The 21,355-nt window shown below is 38.5% G+C and overlaps 1 protein-coding gene and 1 long non-coding RNA gene across 5 annotated transcripts in view, besides 1 other annotated feature; one reads left to right on the top strand and one right to left on the bottom strand.

The window, feature by feature from the left end:
* The window catches only part of LOC105374739 (uncharacterized), a 90,060-nt gene extending 76,124 nt beyond the window's left edge, over positions 1-13,936 (bottom strand). The window contains exons 1-3 of one of the 2 annotated variants that reach the window (XR_001742650.2): positions 13,365-13,936; positions 2,714-2,772; positions 2,260-2,320 (exon numbers count right to left, since the gene is read on the bottom strand). This is a non-coding gene — a long non-coding RNA (uncharacterized LOC105374739). Of the gene's footprint in view, positions 1-962; positions 1,065-2,259; positions 2,321-2,713; positions 2,773-13,364 lie in introns of those variants that run through there. The other variant, XR_001742651.2, reaches the window with a different exon arrangement.
* Positions 13,937-13,950: 14 nt separating this feature from the next.
* The window catches only part of MROH2B (maestro heat like repeat family member 2B), a 73,323-nt gene continuing 65,918 nt past the window's right edge, over positions 13,951-21,355 (top strand). For 2 of the 3 annotated variants that reach the window (NM_173489.5, XM_011513952.2), the window contains exons 1-5: positions 13,951-14,468; positions 15,541-15,602; positions 18,075-18,185; positions 19,803-19,962; positions 20,723-20,821. In NM_173489.5, coding sequence (NP_775760.3) covers positions 14,441-14,468; positions 15,541-15,602; positions 18,075-18,185; positions 19,803-19,962; positions 20,723-20,821 — 460 coding nt within the window. In that variant the 5' untranslated portion in view covers positions 13,951-14,440. The remainder of the gene's footprint in view (positions 14,469-15,540; positions 15,603-18,074; positions 18,186-19,802; positions 19,963-20,722; positions 20,822-21,355) is intronic. The other variant, XM_011513953.2, reaches the window with a different exon arrangement.
* Positions 20,624-21,192: an enhancer, noted in NCBI's record as "OCT4-NANOG hESC enhancer chr5:41064203-41064771 (GRCh37/hg19 assembly coordinates)". NCBI's record gives its function as "activates a minimal SCP1, AML or CMV promoter by ChIP-STARR-seq in naive H9 embryonic stem cells {active_cell/tissue: H9 hESC(naive)}" and the evidence as "EXISTENCE:reporter gene assay evidence [ECO:0000049][PMID:30033119]".

The following is a 21,355-nucleotide window of genomic DNA, read 5'->3' as shown; positions in this document are numbered from 1 at the left end:
CACATTACATACATAACACTTTCTCTTAAAATTAGCCCTATGTTAAGATTGTTTGGTTCCAACATTTTACAAAGCTTACAAGCATTTTCTTAAAAGCAGAAATCATAATATTAAGACCTCAATGAGCAGAAAGTTGCTGGAATGATGTGGTCTCATTAGGCTGTTTTGGTATAATTATGTCAACAAGAGCAATAACAGCAAAAATGCCAGATAACAAATAATGCTAACTTGGTACAACATATTTTCTTTGCATTATTCACTTAATCTATACAACTAACAATCTTACAGATGATGTAACTAAGGCTCAGATGGATTAAATAATCTTACTGGTAAAAAAATCTCTAATATTAATGGATATATATCTACTTCCTCTTTTAGTAAGTACAAACTATGGAAATGAGTGCCAGGTTTATCTTTCTAAGCTTCTGTACTCATTTCTGTGCACTACAGAAGCAGATGAAGAGTTACATATATGAATACTAGCACCAGCAATGAAAGTTATGTTTTGTTTTAGATCTACTTTATTTTTTATTTGCTTCTTTTCCAGCAAATATTCCTATGATATTTGAACACTATTGGTAACCAGAAAATTTACTATTTGAAACTGTATCTAATATTTTACTATCACTTTTTGATTTAAATGTTTTTGAACAGTTTCACCTAACAAAGTATTTCTATAAAACTTAATGACCATTTCTAGGATTCTAAAGTCTCTAACTGTAACATGAGAATATTCACATTTTTATGGCACATCTAGAGGCCATTGAAACTACCAAAAGCAGGAATCAAAAGTATGTTTTTAATCCTATAAAAGTAAACAAAAGACAATGGGAACATGTTTATTTCTTTTTTAAAAAAGGAAAAAAAATTCAAAATGTAAGAGAATCATTCAGAGGCAATGAAATTGTATTTTAATCCTTAAAAATATAATACTAATAACTTTTTCTTCTAAGATTATTTACCTGGGCAATTATGAGATCCAAGTCATTCATTATAAGAAGTTGAGATAATGAAAGTATCCTCCTTTGAATTGTTTAGCTGCCATAAAAAGTGAGTTCTTCAGTTAAAAAAAAAAACAAAAAAAAAAACACGATGTCTCATGTCTCATTTCTCACTAACATGACTTACAGGTCCAGGAGCTGACACTTAAAATCTAGTCCTAAAAGTTCTGGCCAAGGTATAATGAGCTCCAAAAAGCAGAAGGCCCCAATTATCATGACGCCAAGCCACCAGGTAACGTCCTCAGAGGTAAAGGGCTCTGTTATTTCTCTCACTACCCCAAATTATAAAGATAGGCTGTTCTTTTCTCAGCAACTGTCAGTAGCAAAGCTAGATATGCCTAATAAAAGAGGCTCTGAGAAATACCATACTAGTAAATTACTTATCCACAGGGAATTTAATTTTCTATCACTTGAGAGTGAAATCATTTTTTAAATCATTTGCAAATTCTAGAGGGATTAATTTTTTTTTTTTCTTTTGAGACAGGGTCTCGCTCTGTCTCCCTGGCTGAAGTGCAGTGATGCAATCACAGCTCACTGCAGCTTCTCTCCTGGACTCAAGTAATCTCCCCAACCCCCGCCCCCCACCCCACCCCGCGCTTGGTCTCAACCTCCTGAGTAGTTGGGATGACAGGCACGCACCACCATGGTGGGTGGGCTACTTTTTTTTAATTATTTTTTGTCGAGACGGGGTTTCACCATGTTACCCAGGCTAGTCTCAAACTCCTGGGCTCAAGTGATCCTCCAACCGAGGCTCCCCAAAGTGCTCAAATTACAGGTATGAGTCACCATGCCTGGCCAAGATTATATTCTTAAGCTCTTTCTAAATTCCTAAAGGGATAACTTTCAAACCATTCTCTCAATTTTAAAGTGCAGCATGCTTGATGACATACAGAAAAGTAGCTATTGTTTACACTTTCATATTAGCAATTTATAGCTTATATCTCTCGAGGATTTTTAATCAAGAAACATTAACCAAAGCTTGGTCATTGTATTAAGCTTTGAGGTGTATTATCCTGCCTTACCTTATTGTCCACAGCAATGGCTGCTGTGCATTCAGTCCTTAGAGAGTTCTCTAACCTCCTGTCCCTACATCACTGGCTGCTGCTGTCATTGCAAGGGAAAAGGAAATCTTCATACTGGGTTTATATGGGGAAAGGTGTAAGAAATTCCTTATTCACATAAGATTTGTTTTAGTCCATTTTGTGATGCTATAACAGAATGCCACAGACTGGGTAATTTATAAACAATATATACTTACTTCTTAATATCCTGGACGCCTAGTTTAATACCAAAGTACGAGAATCTGGTGAGCCTTCTTGCTGTATCATCCCATGGCAGGAAATAAAAGATCAAAAGAGCACACACATTCAAGAAAGATGAGAGGGGTTGGGAAAAGGGGAACAAACTCATCCTTTTCTTAGGAACCCACTCCCTTGGTAACCACATTAATCCATTCATGAGGTCAGAGACCTCATGACCTAGCTAATCACGTCTTAAAAGTCCCATCTCACAACACTGTTGCATTGGGATTAAATTTCCAACACATAAACTTTGAGAGATGTATTCAAACCATGCATAGCAAGGTTCCAATATTTTAAAGTTATAATTTTGCTGCTTTAGAATTAGAAAGAGCATTGCAAATGTTTTTAGTGGTACAAAGAATGTGAAAACAAAGTTGCTTGGCAGAGGAAATGATCCTTAGGTCAACTAACCTTATCTCCTCTTTTTTCAGGTATCAGTCCAGGGACTGGTGTATTTGTCTGTTCTCACACTGCAAATAAAGACATACCTGAGACTGGGTCATCTATGAAGAAAAGAGGTTTGATTGACTCACAGTTCCATGTGGCTGGGGAGGCCTGACAATCACAGCAGAAGGAGAAGGAGGAGCAAAGTCACATCTTACATGGTGGCAGGCAAGAGAGGATGTGCAGGGGAACTTCCCTTTATAAAACTGTCAGATCTCATGAGACTTATTCACTATCACAAGAACAGCACAGGAAAGACCCACCCCCATGATTCAATTACCTCTCGCTGGGTGCCTCTCACAACACATGGAAATTATGCAAGCTACAATTTAAAATGAGATTTTAGTGGGGCCACAGCCAAACCATATCAACTGGGTTGATTTTCCCACAGTAATAAAACTAGTTTGAAGCAGAATCTAAAGGTAATTCAAGTTTCTGAACTTGAAGTCTCATACTGTTTCTCCTCTTCTTTTTTTATTTCAGATATGAAGCCTGCTCTATTAAAAGGATGTTGAATATATATTTTATCATAGTAACAGCTGAACACTATATATTTACAATAAAAAGCAATTGAAAACAATAACAGTCTAAATCTTGGTAAATCACAAGTTGAGAATCAAATCAAGAACTCAATTCCTTTTACAAAACAAAAAGAAAGAAAAAACCACCTTAGAATATACTTAACCAAGGATGTAAAATATCTCTACAAGGATAACTACAAAACACTGCTGAAAGAAATAGATGACACAAACAAATAAAAATCCATCCCATACTCATGGGTTACAAGAATCAGTATCATGAAAAGGTACATACTTCCCAAAGCAATCTACAGATTCAGTGCAATTCCTTATCAAAACACCAACATCATTTTCCACAGAATTAGGAAAAAAATCATAAAATTCATATGGAGCCAAAAAAGAACCCAAATAGCCAAGGCAATTCTAACCAAAAAGAACAAATCTAGAGGCATCACATTACCTGATTTCAAATTATACTACAAGGTTATAGTATCAAAACAGCATGGTACTTGTATAAAAGCAGATGCATAGACTAATGGAAGAGAATAGAGAAGCCAGAAATAAAGCCAAATACTTACCAACAACTGATCTACAGGCATACGAAAACATAAATTGGGGAAAGGACATCTTGTTTAATAAATGGTGCTGGGGAAACTGACTAGCCACATGTGGAAGAATGATATTGGATCCCCATCTCTCCCCATATACAAAAATGAACTTAAGATGAATTAAAGACTTAAATATAACACCTGAAACCATAAAAATGCTAGAAGAAAACCTAGGAAAAACTCTTCTATATGTTGGCCTAGGCAAAGAATTTATGACTAAGACCTCAAAAGAAAATGTAACAAAAACAAAAATAAATAAATGGAACTTAATTAAACTGAAGAGCTTCTTCTTCATAGCAAAAGAAATAATCATCAGAGTAAACAGAAAACTCCCAGAATGGGATGAAATATTTGCAAACTATGCATCCACAAAAGACTAATATTTAGAATCTACAAGGCATATAAACAAATCAACAAGAAAAAAAACAAATAATCCCATCAAAAAGTGGGCAAATTACATGAATTGACACTTCTCAAAAGAAGAGATACAAACAGCAAACAAACATGAAAAAGATGCTCCACATCATTAATCCTCAGGGAAATGCAAATTAAAACCACATTGAGATACAACCTTATCCTAGCCAGAATGGCCATTACTAAAAAGCCAAAACAAAATAGTTGTTGATGGGGATGTGCTGCAAAAGGGAACACTTAATACACCTCTGGTGGAAATGTAAATTAATACAACTTCTAGGGAAAATAGTATGAAGATTTGTCAAAGAACTAAAAGTAGATCTACCATTTGATCCAGCAATCCCACTACAGGTATCTACCCAAAGGAAAAGAAGTCATTATATCAAAAAGATACTTGCATACAAATGTTCATTACAGCACAATTCACAGTTGCAAAGATATGGAAGCAACCTAAGTGCCCATTAACCAATGAGTGGATAAAGAAAAGTGGTATATATACACCACGAAATACTACTCAGGCATAAAAAAGAATGAAATAATGTCTTTTGCAGTAACTTGGATGGAGCTGGAGGCCCTTATTGAAGGAACTCAGGAATGGAAAACCAAATGCCATATATTCTCCCTTACAAATAGGAGCTAAGCTATGGGTATGCAAAGACATGCAGAGTGGTATAATGAACATTGGAGACTCAGAAGTGGGGAGGGTTGGAGACGGATGAGTGATACCAAACTATATATTGGGTCCAGTGTATACTACTCAGGTGGTGGGTGCACTAAAATCTCAGAAATCACCACTATACAATTCATCCATGTAACCAAAAACTATACTTCAAAAGCTATTGGAATTTTAGAAATTAAAATTTAAAAAATAAATCTTCCTAAATCAAATAGAAAAATCAACAAATTGCTATGATTTACTCATGCTAAAGAAGAAAAAATAATTAGAGGATCTGCAGTCTTCTACTTGGAGAAGAAGACAGGTTCCTCTGAATGCTATGAAGAGGACTCATCTCTACTTTCAAGGACCAACTCAAGTCCTACAATCATGCTTTGCAGACAAAATTCAAAACTCTTTCATGACCTTTGCTTACTCCTCTATTATAACGATCACTATCCTGGCTCATTTTTCCATTTGTTATACCAGTGGACTGCCTTCTCCCCTAGAGTGCAAGTTCCTTGAGGTTAGGATAAAGTTCTTTTTTTATGATTTGTCCAAGAATCCCTATCATGGGCTTCTTGCCTACTAAGTAGTCAGTAAATGTGTGCTGAATTCAGCTGGAGTGAATTTTACTGGAAATTATCCTGTTGTTGTATTTACTACCAGTAGAAAAGCAAAGGAAAAAGAGTAAAAAATAATAATAACAGGAGAGAAAACAGAGACCAGGGAATAGGAAAGGAGAGGAGAAGACATGAGAGACAGGAGGAGAGGAAGGAAGTAGAAAGTGAGGAGGAAGGAAAAAGGAAAGAAAGGAAATGGGTCTACTGACATCAAAGGCATAATTACTTCTATATGACATTGCCAGCTAATATTTCTTTCTCTTTTATATATTAGAGTATAAGAGATTAGGGTTATCTCAGGGGGGTGGAGCCAAGATGGCCAAATTGGAACATCTCCAGTCTACAGCTCCAAGTGACAGCGACACAGAAGATGGGTGATTTCTGCATTTCCAACTGAGGTACTGGGTTCATCTCACTGGGGAGTGCCGGACAGTGGGTGCAGGACAGTGGGTGCAGGGCACCGTGCATGAGCCGAAGCAGGGCGAGGCATCACCTCACCTGGGAAGCTCAAGGGGTCAGGGAACTCCCTTTCCTAGTCAAAGAAAGGAGTGACAGATGGCACCTGGAAAATTGGGTCACTCCCACCCTAATACTGTGCTTTTCCAACGGGCTTAACAAACGGCACACTAGAAGATTATATCCTGCACCTGGCTCGGAGGGTCCTACGCCCAGGGAGCCTCGCTCATTGCTAGCACAGCAGTCTGAGATCAAACTGCAAGGCAGCAGCAAGGCTGGGGAGGGGCTCCTGCCATTGCCGAGGCTTGAGTAGGTAAACTAAGTGGCCAGGAAGCTCGAACTGGGTGGAGCCCACCACAGCTCAAGGAGGCCTGCCTGCCTCTGTAGACTCCATCTCTGGAGGCAGGGCACAGACAAACAAAAGGCAGCAGTAACCTCTGCAGACTTAAATGTCCCTGTCTGACAGCTTTGAAGAGAGTAGTGGTTCTCCCAGCACGCAGCTGGAGATCTGAGAAAGAGCAGACTGCCTCCTCAAGTGGATCCCTGACCCCCGAGTAGCCTAACTGGGAGGCACCCCTCAGTAGGGGCAGACGGACACTTCACACGGCTGGGTACTCCTCTGAGACAAAACTTCCAGAGGAACAATCAGGCAGCAGCATTTGCGGCGCACCAATAGCTGCTGTTCTGCAGCCACCACTGCTGATACCCAGGCAAACAGGGTCTCGAGTGGACCTCCAGCAAACTCCAACAGACCTGCAGCTGAGGGTCCTGACTGTTAGAAGGAAAACTAACAAACAGAAAGGACATCCACATCAAAAACCCATCTGTACATCACCATCATCAAAGACCAAAGGTAGATAAAAACCACAAAGATGGGGAAAAAACAGAGCAGAAAAACTGGAAACTCTAAAAATCAGAGCGCCTCTCCTCCTCCAAAGGAACGCGGCTCCTCACTGGCAATGGAACAAAGCTGGACAGAGAATGACTTTGACAAGTTGAGAGAAGAAAGCTTCAGACGATCAAACTACTCTGAGCGACAGGAGGAAATTCGAACCAATGGCAAAGAAATTAAAAACCTTGAAAAAAAACTAGACGAATGGCTAACTAGAATAATCAATGCAGAGAAGTCCTTAAAGGACCAGATGGAGCTGAAAACCATGGCACGAGAACTAAGTGATGAATGCACAAGCCTCAGTAGCTGATGCGATCAACTGGAAGAAAGGGTATCAGTGATGCAAGACTAAATGAATGAAATGAAGCGAGAAGAGAAGTTTATAGAAAAAAGAATAAAAAGAAATGAACAAAGCTTCCAAGAAATATGGGACTATGTGAAAAGACCAAATCTACATCTGATTGGTGTACCTGAAAGTCATGGGGAGAATGGAACCAAGTTGGAAAACACTCTGCAGGATATTATCCAGGAGAACTTCCCCAATCTAGCAAGGCAGGCCAACATTCAAATTCAGGAAATACAGAGAATTCCACAAAGATACTCCTAGAGAAGAGCAACTCCAAGAAACATAATTGTCAGATTCACCAAAGTTGAAATGAAGGAAAAAATATTAAGGGCAGCCAGAGAGAAAGGTCCGGTTACCCAGAAAGGGAAGCCCATCAGACTAACAGCTGATCTCTCAGCAGAAACTCTACAAGTGAGAAGAGAGTGGGGGCCAATATTCAGCATTCTTAAAGAAAAGAATTTTCAACCCAGAATTTCATATCTGGGTAAAATAAGCTTCATAAGTGAAAGAGAAATAAAATACTTTACAGAAAAGGAAATGCTGAGAGATTTTCATCACCACCAGGCCTGCCCTAAAAGAGCTCCTGAAGGAAGCACTGAACATGGAAAGGAACAACTGGTACCAGCCACTGCAAAAACATGCCAAATTGTAAAGACCATCGAGGCTAGGAAGAAACTGCATCAACTAAAGAGCAAAATAACCAGCTAACATCATAATGACAGGATCAAATTCACACATAACAATATTAACCTTAAATGTAAATGGTATAAATGCTCCACTTAAAAGACATAGACTGGCAAATTGGATAAAGAGTCAAGACCCATCAGTGTGCTGTATTCAGGAAACCCATCTCACATGCAGAGACACACATAGGCTCAAAATAAAGGGATGGAGGAAGATCTACCAAGCAAATGGAAAACAAAAAAAGGCAGGGGTTGCAATTCTAGTCTCAGATAAAACAGACTTTAAACCAACAAAGATCAAAAGAGACAAAGAAGGCCATTACATAATGGTAAAAGGATCAATTCAACAAGAAGAGCTAACTATCCTAAATATATATGCACCCAATTCAGGAGCACCCAGATTCATAAAGCAAGTCCTGAGTGACCTACAAAGAGACTTGGACTCCCACACAATAATAATGGGAGACTTTAACACCCCACTGTCAACATTAGACAGATCAACGAGACAGAAAGTTAACAAGGATATCCAGGAATTGAACTCAGCTCTGCACCAAGTGAACCTAATAGACATCTACAGAACTCTCCACCCCAAATCAACAGAATATACATTCTTTTCAGCACCACATCACACCTATTCCAAAATTGAACACATAGTTGGAAGTAAAGCACTCCTCAACAAATGTAAAAGAACAGAAATTATAACAAACTGTCTCTCAGACCACAGTGCAATCAAACTAGAACTCAGGATTAAGAAACTCACTCAAAACCGCTCTACTACATGGAAACTGAGCAACCTGCTCCTGAATGACTACTGGGTACATAACGAAATGAAGCCAGAAATAAAGATGTTCTTTGAAACCAATGAGAACAAAGACACAACATACCAGAATCTCTGGGACACATTCAAAGCAGTGTGTAGAGGGAAATTTATAGCACTAAATGCCTACAAGAGAAAGCAGGAAAGATCTAAAATTGACACCCTAACATCACAATTAAAAGAACTAGAGAAGCAAGAGCAAACACATTCAAAAGCTAGCAGAAGGCAAGAAATAACCAAGATCAGAGCAGAACTGAAGGAAATAGAGACATAAAAAAACCCTTCAAAAAATTAGTAAATCCAGGAGCTGGTTTTTGGAAAAGATCAACAAAATTGATAGGCTGCTAGCAAGACTAATAAAGAAGAAAAGGGAGAAGAATCAAATAGACGCAATAAAACATGACAAAGGGGATATCATCACTGATCCCACAGAAATACAAACTACCATCAGAGAATACTATAAACACCTCTACGCAAATAAACTAGAAAATATAGAAGAAATGGATAAATTCCTTGACACATACACCCTCCCAAGACTAATCCAGGAAGAAGTTGAATCTCTGAATAGACCAATAACAGGATCTGAAATTGAGGCAATAATGAATATCTTACCAACCAAAAAAAGTCCAGGACCAGATGGATTCACAGCTGAATTCTACCAGAGGTACAAGGAGAAGCCGGTACCATTTCTTCTGAAACTTTTCTAATCAATAGAAAAAGAGGGAATCCTCCCTAACTCATTTTATGAGGCCAGCATCATCCTGATATCAAAGCCTGGCAGAGACACAACCAAAAAAGAGAATTTTAGACCAATATCCTTGATGAACATTGATGCAAAAATCCTCAATAAAATACTGGCAAACCGAATCCAGCAGCACATCAAAAAGCTTATCCACCACCATCAAGTGGGCTTCATCCCTGGGATGCAAGGCTGGTTTAACATACGCAAATCAATAAACATAATCCAGCATATAAACAGAACCAAAGACAAAAACCACATGATTACCTCAATAGATGCAGAAAAGACCTTTGACAAAATTAAACAGCCCTTCATGCTAAAAACTCTCAATAAATTAGGTACTGATGGGATGTATCTCAAAATAATAAGAGCTATCTATGACAAACGCACAGCCAATATCATACTGAATGGACAAAAACTGGAAGCATTCCCTTTGAAAACTGGCACAAGACAGGGATACCCTCTCTCACCACTCCTATTCAACATAGTGTTGGAAGTTCTGGCCAGGGCAATTAGGCAGGAGAAGGAAATAAAGGGTATTAATTAGGAAAAGAGGAAGTCAAATTGTCCCTGTTTGCAGATGACATGATTGTATATCTAGAAAACCCCATTGTCTCAGCCCAAAATCTCCTTAAGCTGATAAGCAACTTCATCAAAGTCTCAGGATACAAAATCAATGTGCAAAAATCACAAGCATTCTTATATACCAATAACAGACAAACAGAGAACCAAATCATGAGTGAACTCCCATTCACAATTGCTTCAAAGAGAATAAAATACCTAGGAATCCAACTTACAAGGGATGTGAAGGACCTCTTCAAGGAGAACTACAAACCACTGCTCAATGAAATAAAAGAGGATACAAACAAACGGAAGAACATTCCATGCTCATGGATAGGAAGAATCAATATCGTGAAAATGGCCATACTGCCCAAGGTAATTTATAGATTCAATGCCATCCCCATCAAACTACCAATGACTCTCTTCACAGAATTGGAAAAAAATACTTTAAAGTTCATATGGAACCAAAAAAGAGCCCACATTGCCAAGTCAATCCTAAGCCAAAAGAACAAAGCTGGAGGCATCATGCTACCTGACTTCAAACTATACTACAAGGCTACAGTAACCAAAACAGCATGGTACTGGTACCAAACAGAGATATAGACCAATGGAACAGAACAGAGCCCTCAGAAATAATGCCGCATATCTACAACTATCTGATCTTTGACAAACCTGACAAAAACAAGCAATGGGGACAGGATTCCCTATTTAATAAATGGTGCTGGGAAAACTGGCTAGCCATATGTAGAAAGCTGAAACTGGATCCCTTCCTTACACCTTATACAAAAATTAATTCAAGATGGATTAAAGACTTACATGTTAGACCTAAAACCATAAAAACCCTGGAAGAAAACCTAGGCGTTACCATTCAGGACATAGGCATGGGCAAGGACTTCATGTCTAAAACACCAAAAGCAATGGCAACAAAAGACAAAATTGACAAATGGGATCTAATTAAACTAAAGAGCTTCTGCACAGCAAAAGAAACTACCATCGGAGTGAACAGGCAACCTAGAGAATGGGAGAACATTTTTGCAACCTACTCATCTGATAAAGGGCTAATATCCAGAATCTACAATGAACTCAAACAAGTTTACAAGAAAAAAACAAACAACCCCATCAAAAAATGGGTGAAGGATATGAACAGACGCTTTTCAAAAGAAGACATTTAGGCAGCCAAAAAACACTTGAAAAAATGCTCATCATCACTGGCCATCAGAGAAATGCAAATCAAAACCACAATGAGATACCATCTCACACCAGTTAGAATGGCAATCATTAAAAAGTCAGGAAACAACAGGTGCTGGAGAGGATGTGGAGAAATAGGAACACTTTTACACTGTTGGTGGGACTGTAAACTAGTTTAAGCATTGTGGAAGTTAGTGTGACGATTCCTCAGGGATCTAAAACTAGAATTACCTTTTGACCCAGCCATCCCATAAATGGGTAGATACCCAAAGGATTATAAATCATGCTGCTATAAGGACACATGCACACGTATGTTTATTGCGGCACTATTCACAATAGCAAAGACTTGGAACCGACCCAAATGTCCATCAATGATAGACTGGATTAAGAAAATGTGGCACATATACACCATGGAATACTATGCAGCCATAAAAAATGATGAGTTCATGTCCTTTGTAGGGACATGGATGAAGCTGGAAACCATCATTCTCAGCAAACTATCGCAAGGACAAAAAACCAAACACCGCATGTTCTCACTCATAGGTGGGAATTGAACAATGAGAACACATGGACAAAGGAAGGGGAACATCACACACTGAGGACTGTTGGGGGGTGGGGGGAGTGGGAAAGGATAGCATTAGGAGATATACCTAATGCTAAATGACGAGTTAATGGGTGCAGCACACAAACATGGCACATGTATACATATGTAACAAAACTGCACGTTGTGCACATGTACCCTAGAACTTAAAGTATAATAATAATAAAATTTTTAAAAAAGAAATTAGGCTTATCTCATGAAACTGACAAATCAAACAAAACACAGCCTAATTTCACTTTTAATATATTTTATAAAAATCTAACACGTCATCTGAAGAATAAAAGGATAAATATCAAAGTTTAGATTAATTGTAGTATACATTAAAATCATCTACAATTAAACTATTAAAACCATAAAATTTAAATTTTTATAACGTTTCTGTATTATTTCTATGTATCTATTCTTCTTTAGCTTTATATTTTACCTTTACTGCCTTATTAATATTTTTGTCTGATAACATCATGTGGGAACATAGTAGGCCTGGGATTGGGTAGCTTCATTTGACAAGTTACATTGAAAGGGGATGGCTACCACATATCCAGTGAGACACTCTAATTCCTTAGCAGGCTAGATTTAGGCTCCCTCACAAATATCTAGAAACAGTACTTAATTAGTTAGCACATGCCATCCTATTCACTTTGAGAATTCGTGTTTAGGATCCTCTTAGAGTCTTAGAGAAATCAAATCCATATTGTGTTAGCCTCATGCAATGAGAAGAGGAAGAAATAATGGGAAGATGTAACAAGCAGGCGACTGAAAAATGAAATAAAATGACAGCAAATCAGCTATTTTGAGGATTTGGGGATTTTAAAACTATCTGCAGTATTGGTTTCAATGAGTGAATTTACTTTGTCTGAAAGGATTTTAGCAAAAAGTTGTGTTTTGATTGCAGCGATGAATAAATTAAAAGTCAAAATAAATCAATTATCTCCTAACTTCTCTAATCTCTATGAAATCAAGGAAGTCTTTATATACAGACATACAGAAAAATCATTTGTCACCATTCACAAAAATATTAAGAAAATGGTTGTAACAATTACCTAAATGGCTAGCTTTCTTATTATTGATTCTGCTGTACATTGTTTTTTAAGACTCTAAGAGCACATAATTTCTAACATCATTTTTTCCCTTATAGGGAATCTGTTGTTTTATTTACTACAAGTAGACTTAACATCTTATAGATGTTAAGAGTTTCGGGATGCCTCTAATCACCCCAGTACCTCCCTGACTAACCAAACTTGGCCTATTCTTCAGTGAGTCATGATGCTGGGGAAGAGCTCCTTGCCCAACCACAACAAACATTCTTCAGTTAACTGCTATTTACTGATCCACTAATGAATGTTTGGGCAAGGACCTTGGTCAGTGCTTTTCAAAGTTCAGTGAACCTAAGAATCACCAGGGGCGCACATTAAATATATAGATTGCTGCCCCCTCATTCTAATTTACTGGGTCTGAAGTGGGGCCTGGGAATTCACATTTTAAATAAGGATACCAAGTAAATCCCATGATAAAGTCACCTGGAGACAAAACTCTGAAAGTGATGCTGACTTGGGAAGCGGAAAATGTTGAGGATCTCTTTAATACAGTGCAAAATGTCTATGAGAAGAATGATGAATTCAAAGGTTTAGTTGGAAGCAGTTGACCTTTGAATCTGGAATAAGCTTCACCGATGAAGTTAAGATGGCCAAAAAAGCAGCAGCAGATGAAAATTGTCATGAGCTCCCCTCCTCAGCCCATTCTACATTTAGCCCTATAGACTAGCAGTACTGCCTTCCCTTTCTCTATCATCCTCCATATTCACATAGAGTCTGGACATATATTGAAGATTGTCATCACATAGATTTATAGTTGGGGACCAGATTTCAATTCATGCTAGATAAGTTGAAAACATTATGGAAAATTGATCTAGATAAAAAATAATTTGAAAACAAAAAGAAAGCTGAAGACAGAGAAAAAGCCTGAGCCTGGAGTGAGGCCAAGATCCTGAACATGCCAGGGAGGAATTAATGGAGAGGGAGGTAGAGAGGTCTTCACTTTGCTGCTGTCAGTTGGACATTCCATCCAACTGCCCCTGAAGTGCATTCCAGTCCACTGAGCATGCTCAGTTCATATGACTGATTTTCACTAAGTGTAACAATCAACGAGTTCACCATAAAGCCTTTCCCAACATCAGGACAGTAAAGCAACTACTGAAAACCATTCCTGAATTTGTGATCAATGGACTCAAGTTTAGGGAGAGGAGCACCTTTGGTCTGCAACAATGGTTTGAATCCCAGTCTCTAATTACTTCTTTCCCAAATACTCTGGTCACCAAAGGGACAATATTTGGTGAGATGCAGCCATTTTGTTGGTTAGCAGGAGTTCAGACGCAAGACAATGTCATAGTGGTAGAATACAGTATCAACTTCAACAGCAAGCCCATCTCTGGAAGCTCCCAGACCATTGTGCCAATCAAGTGGAGGAGGCACTTTCATTTAGAGAGGCTTATGTGAACCTTATATGAGAAACTTGCCAACCTGCCTCTTTGATTTTTTAGCCTTACTATTTCTAATACTTAGGTGCTATCTTTTAGAGACCCTGAAACAGCCAAGACATGACACTTAGTACAGAGGAATCCATAGGTAAGCATCATCAGATCCTGAGAAGCCAAGGCTCTTCCCTGTGTTTTGTTTCTGTGGAATTATAAGTATATATGAGGGCTGGGAGTGGCGCGTCATTGTGGGAGGACTGTACACCTCAAAGGATTTATGAAATGGTATGCTAAATACATAATAAAATCATGCTGATTGTGAAGGACCAATAATAGACTGGAAGCCTAAGAGATGGTTGTGCTTTAAAATTTAGAGTCTACCTGAGGAGAAAGTGGCTACATATCAAAGAAAGGCAGTTTGTTATTTAATTTTAAATACTAGAAGAGTCCTTTGGAAGTATTTCTCCCAATTTCCAGGTATGGCTGCCTTTCTACTTTGCCAAAAAGATTGCCCTAAATGAGTATGTTGTTTGGTGTGGAGGTTAATAAGAAATCTTCATCTCCAAAAGTATTTCTCCTACCAACTTGCCATGTAGCTTGAAATTGCTCAATTCCTTTGACTCAATTTTTTTTCCAGTTTTCTAGAGTGCTTTATTCAAAAACATATATTCCTAGAAAATGCAAGTCAAACACATTTAGGTCATTGTCAGAAAACAGGAAGCCTTCATTAGCATGTGACCAAAAGAGGGAGTTGGCAGGCACAGGAGAATAGGTGGAGTTGAAAAGGGTATGGAAAAAGAAGATGGGAGAGGTATTGAGGGGAGGACCAGTGAAAAATAAACAGCTATGTTGCACCCCTGCCTTCTAATGCTTAAGTCAGGAGTGAGAAATTCACCTCATTGACTCTGAGAGCTAAATCCTGCAAGAGAGAATTTACAAGGCAATGCCCACTTGCCTGGAGGGATACATAGGAATCCGGCATCTTTTATCTTCCCTTTCACATTTGATTCAGGTTTCAAAAATAATAATAACTTAGCATCTGCTAGTTTCATTTATGTCATGGATATGAATAAAACAGTTCCTGCCATCAAAGAGCTAGCAGTCAAGGGAGAGAGAGAGAGAGAGGATAAATGAATGAATGAACTTTCTGTGTTGATTACAAAATAATTAACAGGAGGGCATTTCAGCATATATTTCAATTCATATTTTTCTGTACGTTTTAGAGATGTTTGGGGATATTAACCTCACTCTTGGCATGCTGAACAAGGAAGATATTGTTAACAAGGTAGGGAAAACAGAGAAAAATCTTTTTCCCTTTTTCAGTCTTCTTGTTGCAACATTTCGTATATATTTTTCTTTGTCTCAACTTTCTCATTTTTCTCTGGCTTGTTACATGGCATTAGATTTTTCAGTAAATGCAGTTGTAATGAAAGTCATTGTAATGTTTAAGCAATGATATTTGGCATTTCAAGAATCACAGCATCTATGTCTAGAAAATAGCAAAAAAAAAGTTCCTTTTTATAACTTTATACAGGCAGATGTTGAAAGGTGTATGTCAGACTTACAAACATGTGGATGAGACTGTTTCTTTTATAATTTGAGGGTTGTTACAAAAATCCCAAAAGCTCTTCCCTGCTCATCTATAATGCTATTTCACAGCTAGAAGTTTACCTAAGAATTGAAGGCTTTTCACATTTCAACAACCTTTTATAAAATAAAAGAAATAACTGCCCTTCATCGAACACTTATCTGGGAAGTAAAATGCTAGATATTTTCCAAACAACAGTGTATTGTATAATATTCACTCCTCAGAACAATTTTATCAGGTAGTTATTGCTATTTCCATTTGATAACTGAGAAAAAATTAGGCAGAGAGAAGTTACATGACTTGCTCAACTAAGAACAACAGGACTATATCCAAAAGCAAGCCCATCTGACTCCAAAAAAAAATGTTCCTAATCATTATTCAGTGTTGTCTCCTTGTGAAGGGCAGTGCCTATACCTTTATCTCTTAATTCAGTGGTTCTCAACCCTGACCATATATTAGAATCCCTTAGAGAGTTTTGGGAAAATATCAACACCCAGGCCCTACTACCAGGGATTCTGATTGGATCAGTCTGTGAAAAGCTTGGGCATTTTAAGCACCTGGAGGTAATCCAAACATTTAGGTACGGTTGAAAACCATTACATTAATCTCTCAGTAGAAGTCACCTTTCCGAAAGAACACTATTTCTCAAACATTGGGAATCACTTAAGAGAATAACCTCCGGATCCCAGAAACATTGAAGGAGAATTTCCAGTAAAGGGATCAGAGAATATATATTTTTAACAAGCACTTCCTAGTTATTTTATGATGAGTCTAGTTAAAGAATAATAATAGCCAGCATAACCAAGAGGTTAAGGTGCCAGCTAAAATTCAGACTGTTGGTTTCAAATTGTAGCATCAGTACGTAACACTAACTACATTAAGCTCCCTGGGACTCAATTTCCTCATCTATAAAATGAATATATTTGTGGTACCTAAGACAGGGACTTGTGAGCGTTAATAAAATGCTCCAGATAATGAGTCTGGCACAGTTCCAGGAATGTGGTGAGAGCTCCATAAATGGTAGCCTTGCCAAAGAACAAGGCCTGCAGACAGGATAGTAAGCACATGGAGCAAGAAAAGGACTCACAGAGATAGTTAGGCAGGCCCAGAAAATACAGGGAAGAAAGCAAAGAAAAATTATGCATTATTCTCAGACTTCCCAAGGACCAGCCCTGAGGAGTAATGCAAAGGATGCTATTTAACAACTTAAGCATGGGTGGAGTGGCTGGAGGTGCATGTTGAAGCTGTTGGAGATTTCAGTACACCAGTCTCTCTTTCATCATCCAGAGGACACATAGCCACCTAAAAGATTTACAATTCCTCACACAGGGCATCTAGTCAAGCCACACAACTGGAGGCCCTGTCTAAAATGTCCACAACTTTCTGTCTGCAGAGGCATGAATGAAACAAGGGCCTGTAAATGTCCCTTAGGATCCAGTTTCATAGCCTAGCAGCCTCTTGGGGAGTTACAGTGTGTTCCCTAGTACCATATCACTCCCTGATAGTAAGGGCAGCAATTAAGCTGACAGGCATTTCCATTCCCCTGAGTGTCCCACAACAGTGATTTTCAAAAGACATGGAATGGCAGGTAGCCTCTCCTGGTTGTCAATTAGATCTTGCCATAGAAATATAGCCAAGTTAAAATAGTTTTTAGAATTGACTTTGCTCTGTAGCCTTTGACTCCTAAAGATGCATGTTATGTTCAGAAAGCCTCAATTAAAGCCAGGCACGGTGGCTCATGCCTGTAATCCCAGCACTTTGGGAGACCGAGGCAAGTGGATCACCTGAGGTCAGGAGTTCGAGACCAGCGTAGCCAACATGGCAAAAACCCCGTCTCTACTAAAAATACAAAAATTATTCGGGCATGGTGGCACACACCTGTAATCCTGGCTACTCGGGAGGCTGAGGCAGGAGAATCAGTTGAACCCAGGAGGCAGAGGTTGCAGTGAGCTGAGATCATGCCATTGCACTCCAGCCTGGCCAAAAAGAGCAAAACTCCATCTTAAAAAATAGAAAAAAAAAAGAAAGCCTCAATTAAGACATATAATATGAAATCCATTGTGTAGTAAAGATATATTGCTTACTTTAATGGTGTTATTCATTAGGATTTCATTTGATTCCTTTATTTTTGCAAGCCAAATTTCTGTGTATGCCTTTGTATATTCACAGGAAGACATTTACAGTCATCTCACTTCTGTTATTCAGAATACTGACATCTTGGATGATGCAATTGTCCAACGATTGATTTATTATGCTTCTAAGGATATGAGAGACAACAATGTAAGTTTGGTTCATGATGGTGAAAAGGGTCTTTATGTGACCCAACTGCACCCATGTGGACATCAGTAAGCTCTTCTACACTGTTGCCAGGACCACAAATCACTTGTATTTGTTCTTTGTGGTAACTTGGATATCGTTATAATGCCTGATATTTACTCCTTCACAGATGAGGAAACTGAGGCAAAGATAAGAATGATTTTAAAGGTGATTTTATCCAACCTCCTTTTAGATGAGGAAGTTCACCATTAGAGATATGTTTTTTTCAAAGTAACACAGCTGTCTATTGACAACTAGTAACATAACTAGAAACCAATTTTCTTGGCTTCTATATGACTTATTTCTTTATGTACCTACTATCTTAGATTGTCTGATAGACAACATAGCAAAAAAATAATAATTTGTAGAAGTAATTTGAATCCTAGGATGATGTTATTTCTTCCAGAAAGAAGTATTACTTGTTCCTGCCAAGGGCACTAACAATTTATGATTGCTTTCAGGGTTTGAGATTTCTGGGTCTCTTCTATAACTTAGAATTCGATTGTCATTCATGAGAGTACCAATTTAACTTTTCATTTGAACACAGCCCTTTGGTGTCTTATCCCAAAAGACAAGAGGTGGAATGACCAGAGTCTCACCACTGGTTGGCCCTGAACTCTGACTATTGCTTCAAAATGCAACAAAACAGTCTCAAATGCAGGGCTTATCTCTCTAGATCAATAATCTTTTTCAGGCCTCAACTCAGTAATTCATTCCAACCTATATTGTGAGTTTGCTGATGGTTTTATGAGTATATATTTTTAATATCTTATCTGGGTCCTTTGTATTTTCCTCAGGAGGGGATTTGATCAAATTTACCTAGTTCGCCATCACCAAAATCAGAAATCTTTCCCAATACCACCAATACTGGACATGATTATTAGGCCAGATTAACATCAAAACCAAAGTTCTCAATTCCTAGCCCATTTCCTTTCACTTTTGCTTTCAGTCTTTCAACCACAGTAATTTGCATCACTTAAACATAAAATGTAAGTCTTGTGTTCATGGTACCAGATCAACCAGCAAGAAAACAGCTACTGACCTCGAAGTTTACTAGAACTCTATTAAAACCAGCGTTTTAAATTCACTCTAATTACCTCTGCTTTCCCAGCTACTAACACCTACCAAGAGTTTCTCACTATGGTTTTGTAACAGCCTGTTCTCCCTTCGTCCCAACGCTAGAGGAGCTTATAAATAGTGTGGCTGTATAGTAGAGAACAGGCTGCTAGAAAACCATGGTGAAAGATTCTTGGTAGGTGTCAGTTGCTGGGAAAGCAGAGGTAACTTGATTGCACTTTTAAAAACTGGTTTTAATAGTGTTCTTGCAGATTTGGGGGTCAGTAGACGTTTTTGCAGACTCCAAAAGAACAGAAGGTGGGAGGAATGGTGAGGGTTCACTAGAAGCCCAAATCTCACCATTACACAGTTGAACCATGTGACCAACCTGCACATGTACCCCCTGAATCTATAATTTTAAAAATAAATAAATGCATATATAAATATTATGCTGACTAGTTCCCCTCCATAGACTCACTCTGCCCCTTTTCTAGTTGTTATTGTTATTTTTCTTTTCCTCCTCAGATGCTCAGAGAAATCAGAATGCTAGCTGGTGAGGTTTTGGTGTCTCTTGCTGCACATGATTTCAACTCTGTGATGTATGAAGTACAAAGTAACTTCAGGATCTTAGAGCTACCAGATGAATTCGTTGTGCTTGCCCTGGCTGAATTGGCAACCAGCTATGGTATAGCGGGAATATTCTCCAATTTTCCCTGGGAAATGACAACTTCTAATTGTCTAAAAGCTAAATGGGAGCAAACGGTAGAAGAGATAGCATCTCTGCCTTCTTCTGTACCAAGAAATATTGACAGAGGGATGTGGGCAGCTGTTTAAAATGAGCATGGATGATTCTGCTGCCCAGCCACTAGTCCAGACTGCTCTGAATTTGGCCACTCTCCCATCCTCACCTTCCCCTTCATCCAGCTTTGCATTTGCAGAAGCACATTTTCTGTAAGGTGTATTCTATAAACCACTGAACACTTACATGAAATAAGGATCCCTACCATTTATTTCCACACTACTTTATTTAACAGATATTTAGGAATCACCTGTTACATATGTTTACATATACTTTGGGGATACAGGAAAGATCTGGTGGGAGAGATTGACATTAATAAATTAATTATCCAACTAAGCAATTGCTGGCAGCACTGGTGGTATAGTGGTGAGCATAGCTGCCTTCCAAATAAGCGACTGCCACTTAACAAGAGGTACAAGTGGCTGTGTAGCTAGAACCTTATTTTCAACCAGCCCTTCCTTGATTATCTAACTACAGCCTGGTATTAAGGTGGGGTAGAGATGGCGGAATTATAGAAACATCTTTCTACTACACCTCATCTGCCTCCTCCGTGCAGCCCTGAAATGCTTCTTGTTGATTTGGAGTCACAGAACCCCAAATTTGAGAAGATAAATAACACTTGTCTCCTTTCTGCCTCTCCCTCCAGTGTCCCAGAGTATTCCTTTCATGATGATGACCCTGCTCACCATGCAAACCATGCTCAGGCTGGCCGAGGATGAAAGGATGAAGGGGACTTTCTGTATTGGTGGGTATCCCGATGATTTCCTTTTTGCTTAAAAACCAGGCTGTGAACTGTCTTACAAATTAAGCAAAAGTCTTGTTTTCCCTTTAACTCCAATCTTGTCCTTTTGAATAATAATAGCTGCCACTTATTGAGTGCCTACCACATGGAAAGTCCTCAGCAGGGAGTTATCTCATTCAATCATCACAGAAATTCTGCAAGATAAGTACTATTTGCCCATTGTATAGAGGAAAAACTGAGGTTCAAGGAAAGTAAAGAATTTTCCCAAAATGGTGACACAGTCAATGAGATATAGAGGTGGGATTCAAACCCAGGTCTGTGGGAACACCCAGTCTACACTCCTCACTGCCCTGTACAACTTCCATTTCGACTGACCTCCTTCTCTAACTGGACGACACTTTCTTGGCAATGATTGTCAGCACTTACCAGCTCTTAGCATAGGTTAAATTTTGGCATCTGATTATAATGTAATATTGTAATAATGATAACTAAACAAAGTAATCAAACTACAAGCAATCATAAAATCAAGAAAAATAG

Source organism: Homo sapiens, chromosome 5 (genome assembly GCF_000001405.40).
Source record: "Homo sapiens chromosome 5, GRCh38.p14 Primary Assembly".
Classification (NCBI taxonomy): domain Eukaryota; kingdom Metazoa; phylum Chordata; class Mammalia; order Primates; family Hominidae; genus Homo; species Homo sapiens.
Note: the sequence above shows the minus strand (reverse complement) of the source record. Positions and strands in the feature narration are given on the sequence as shown.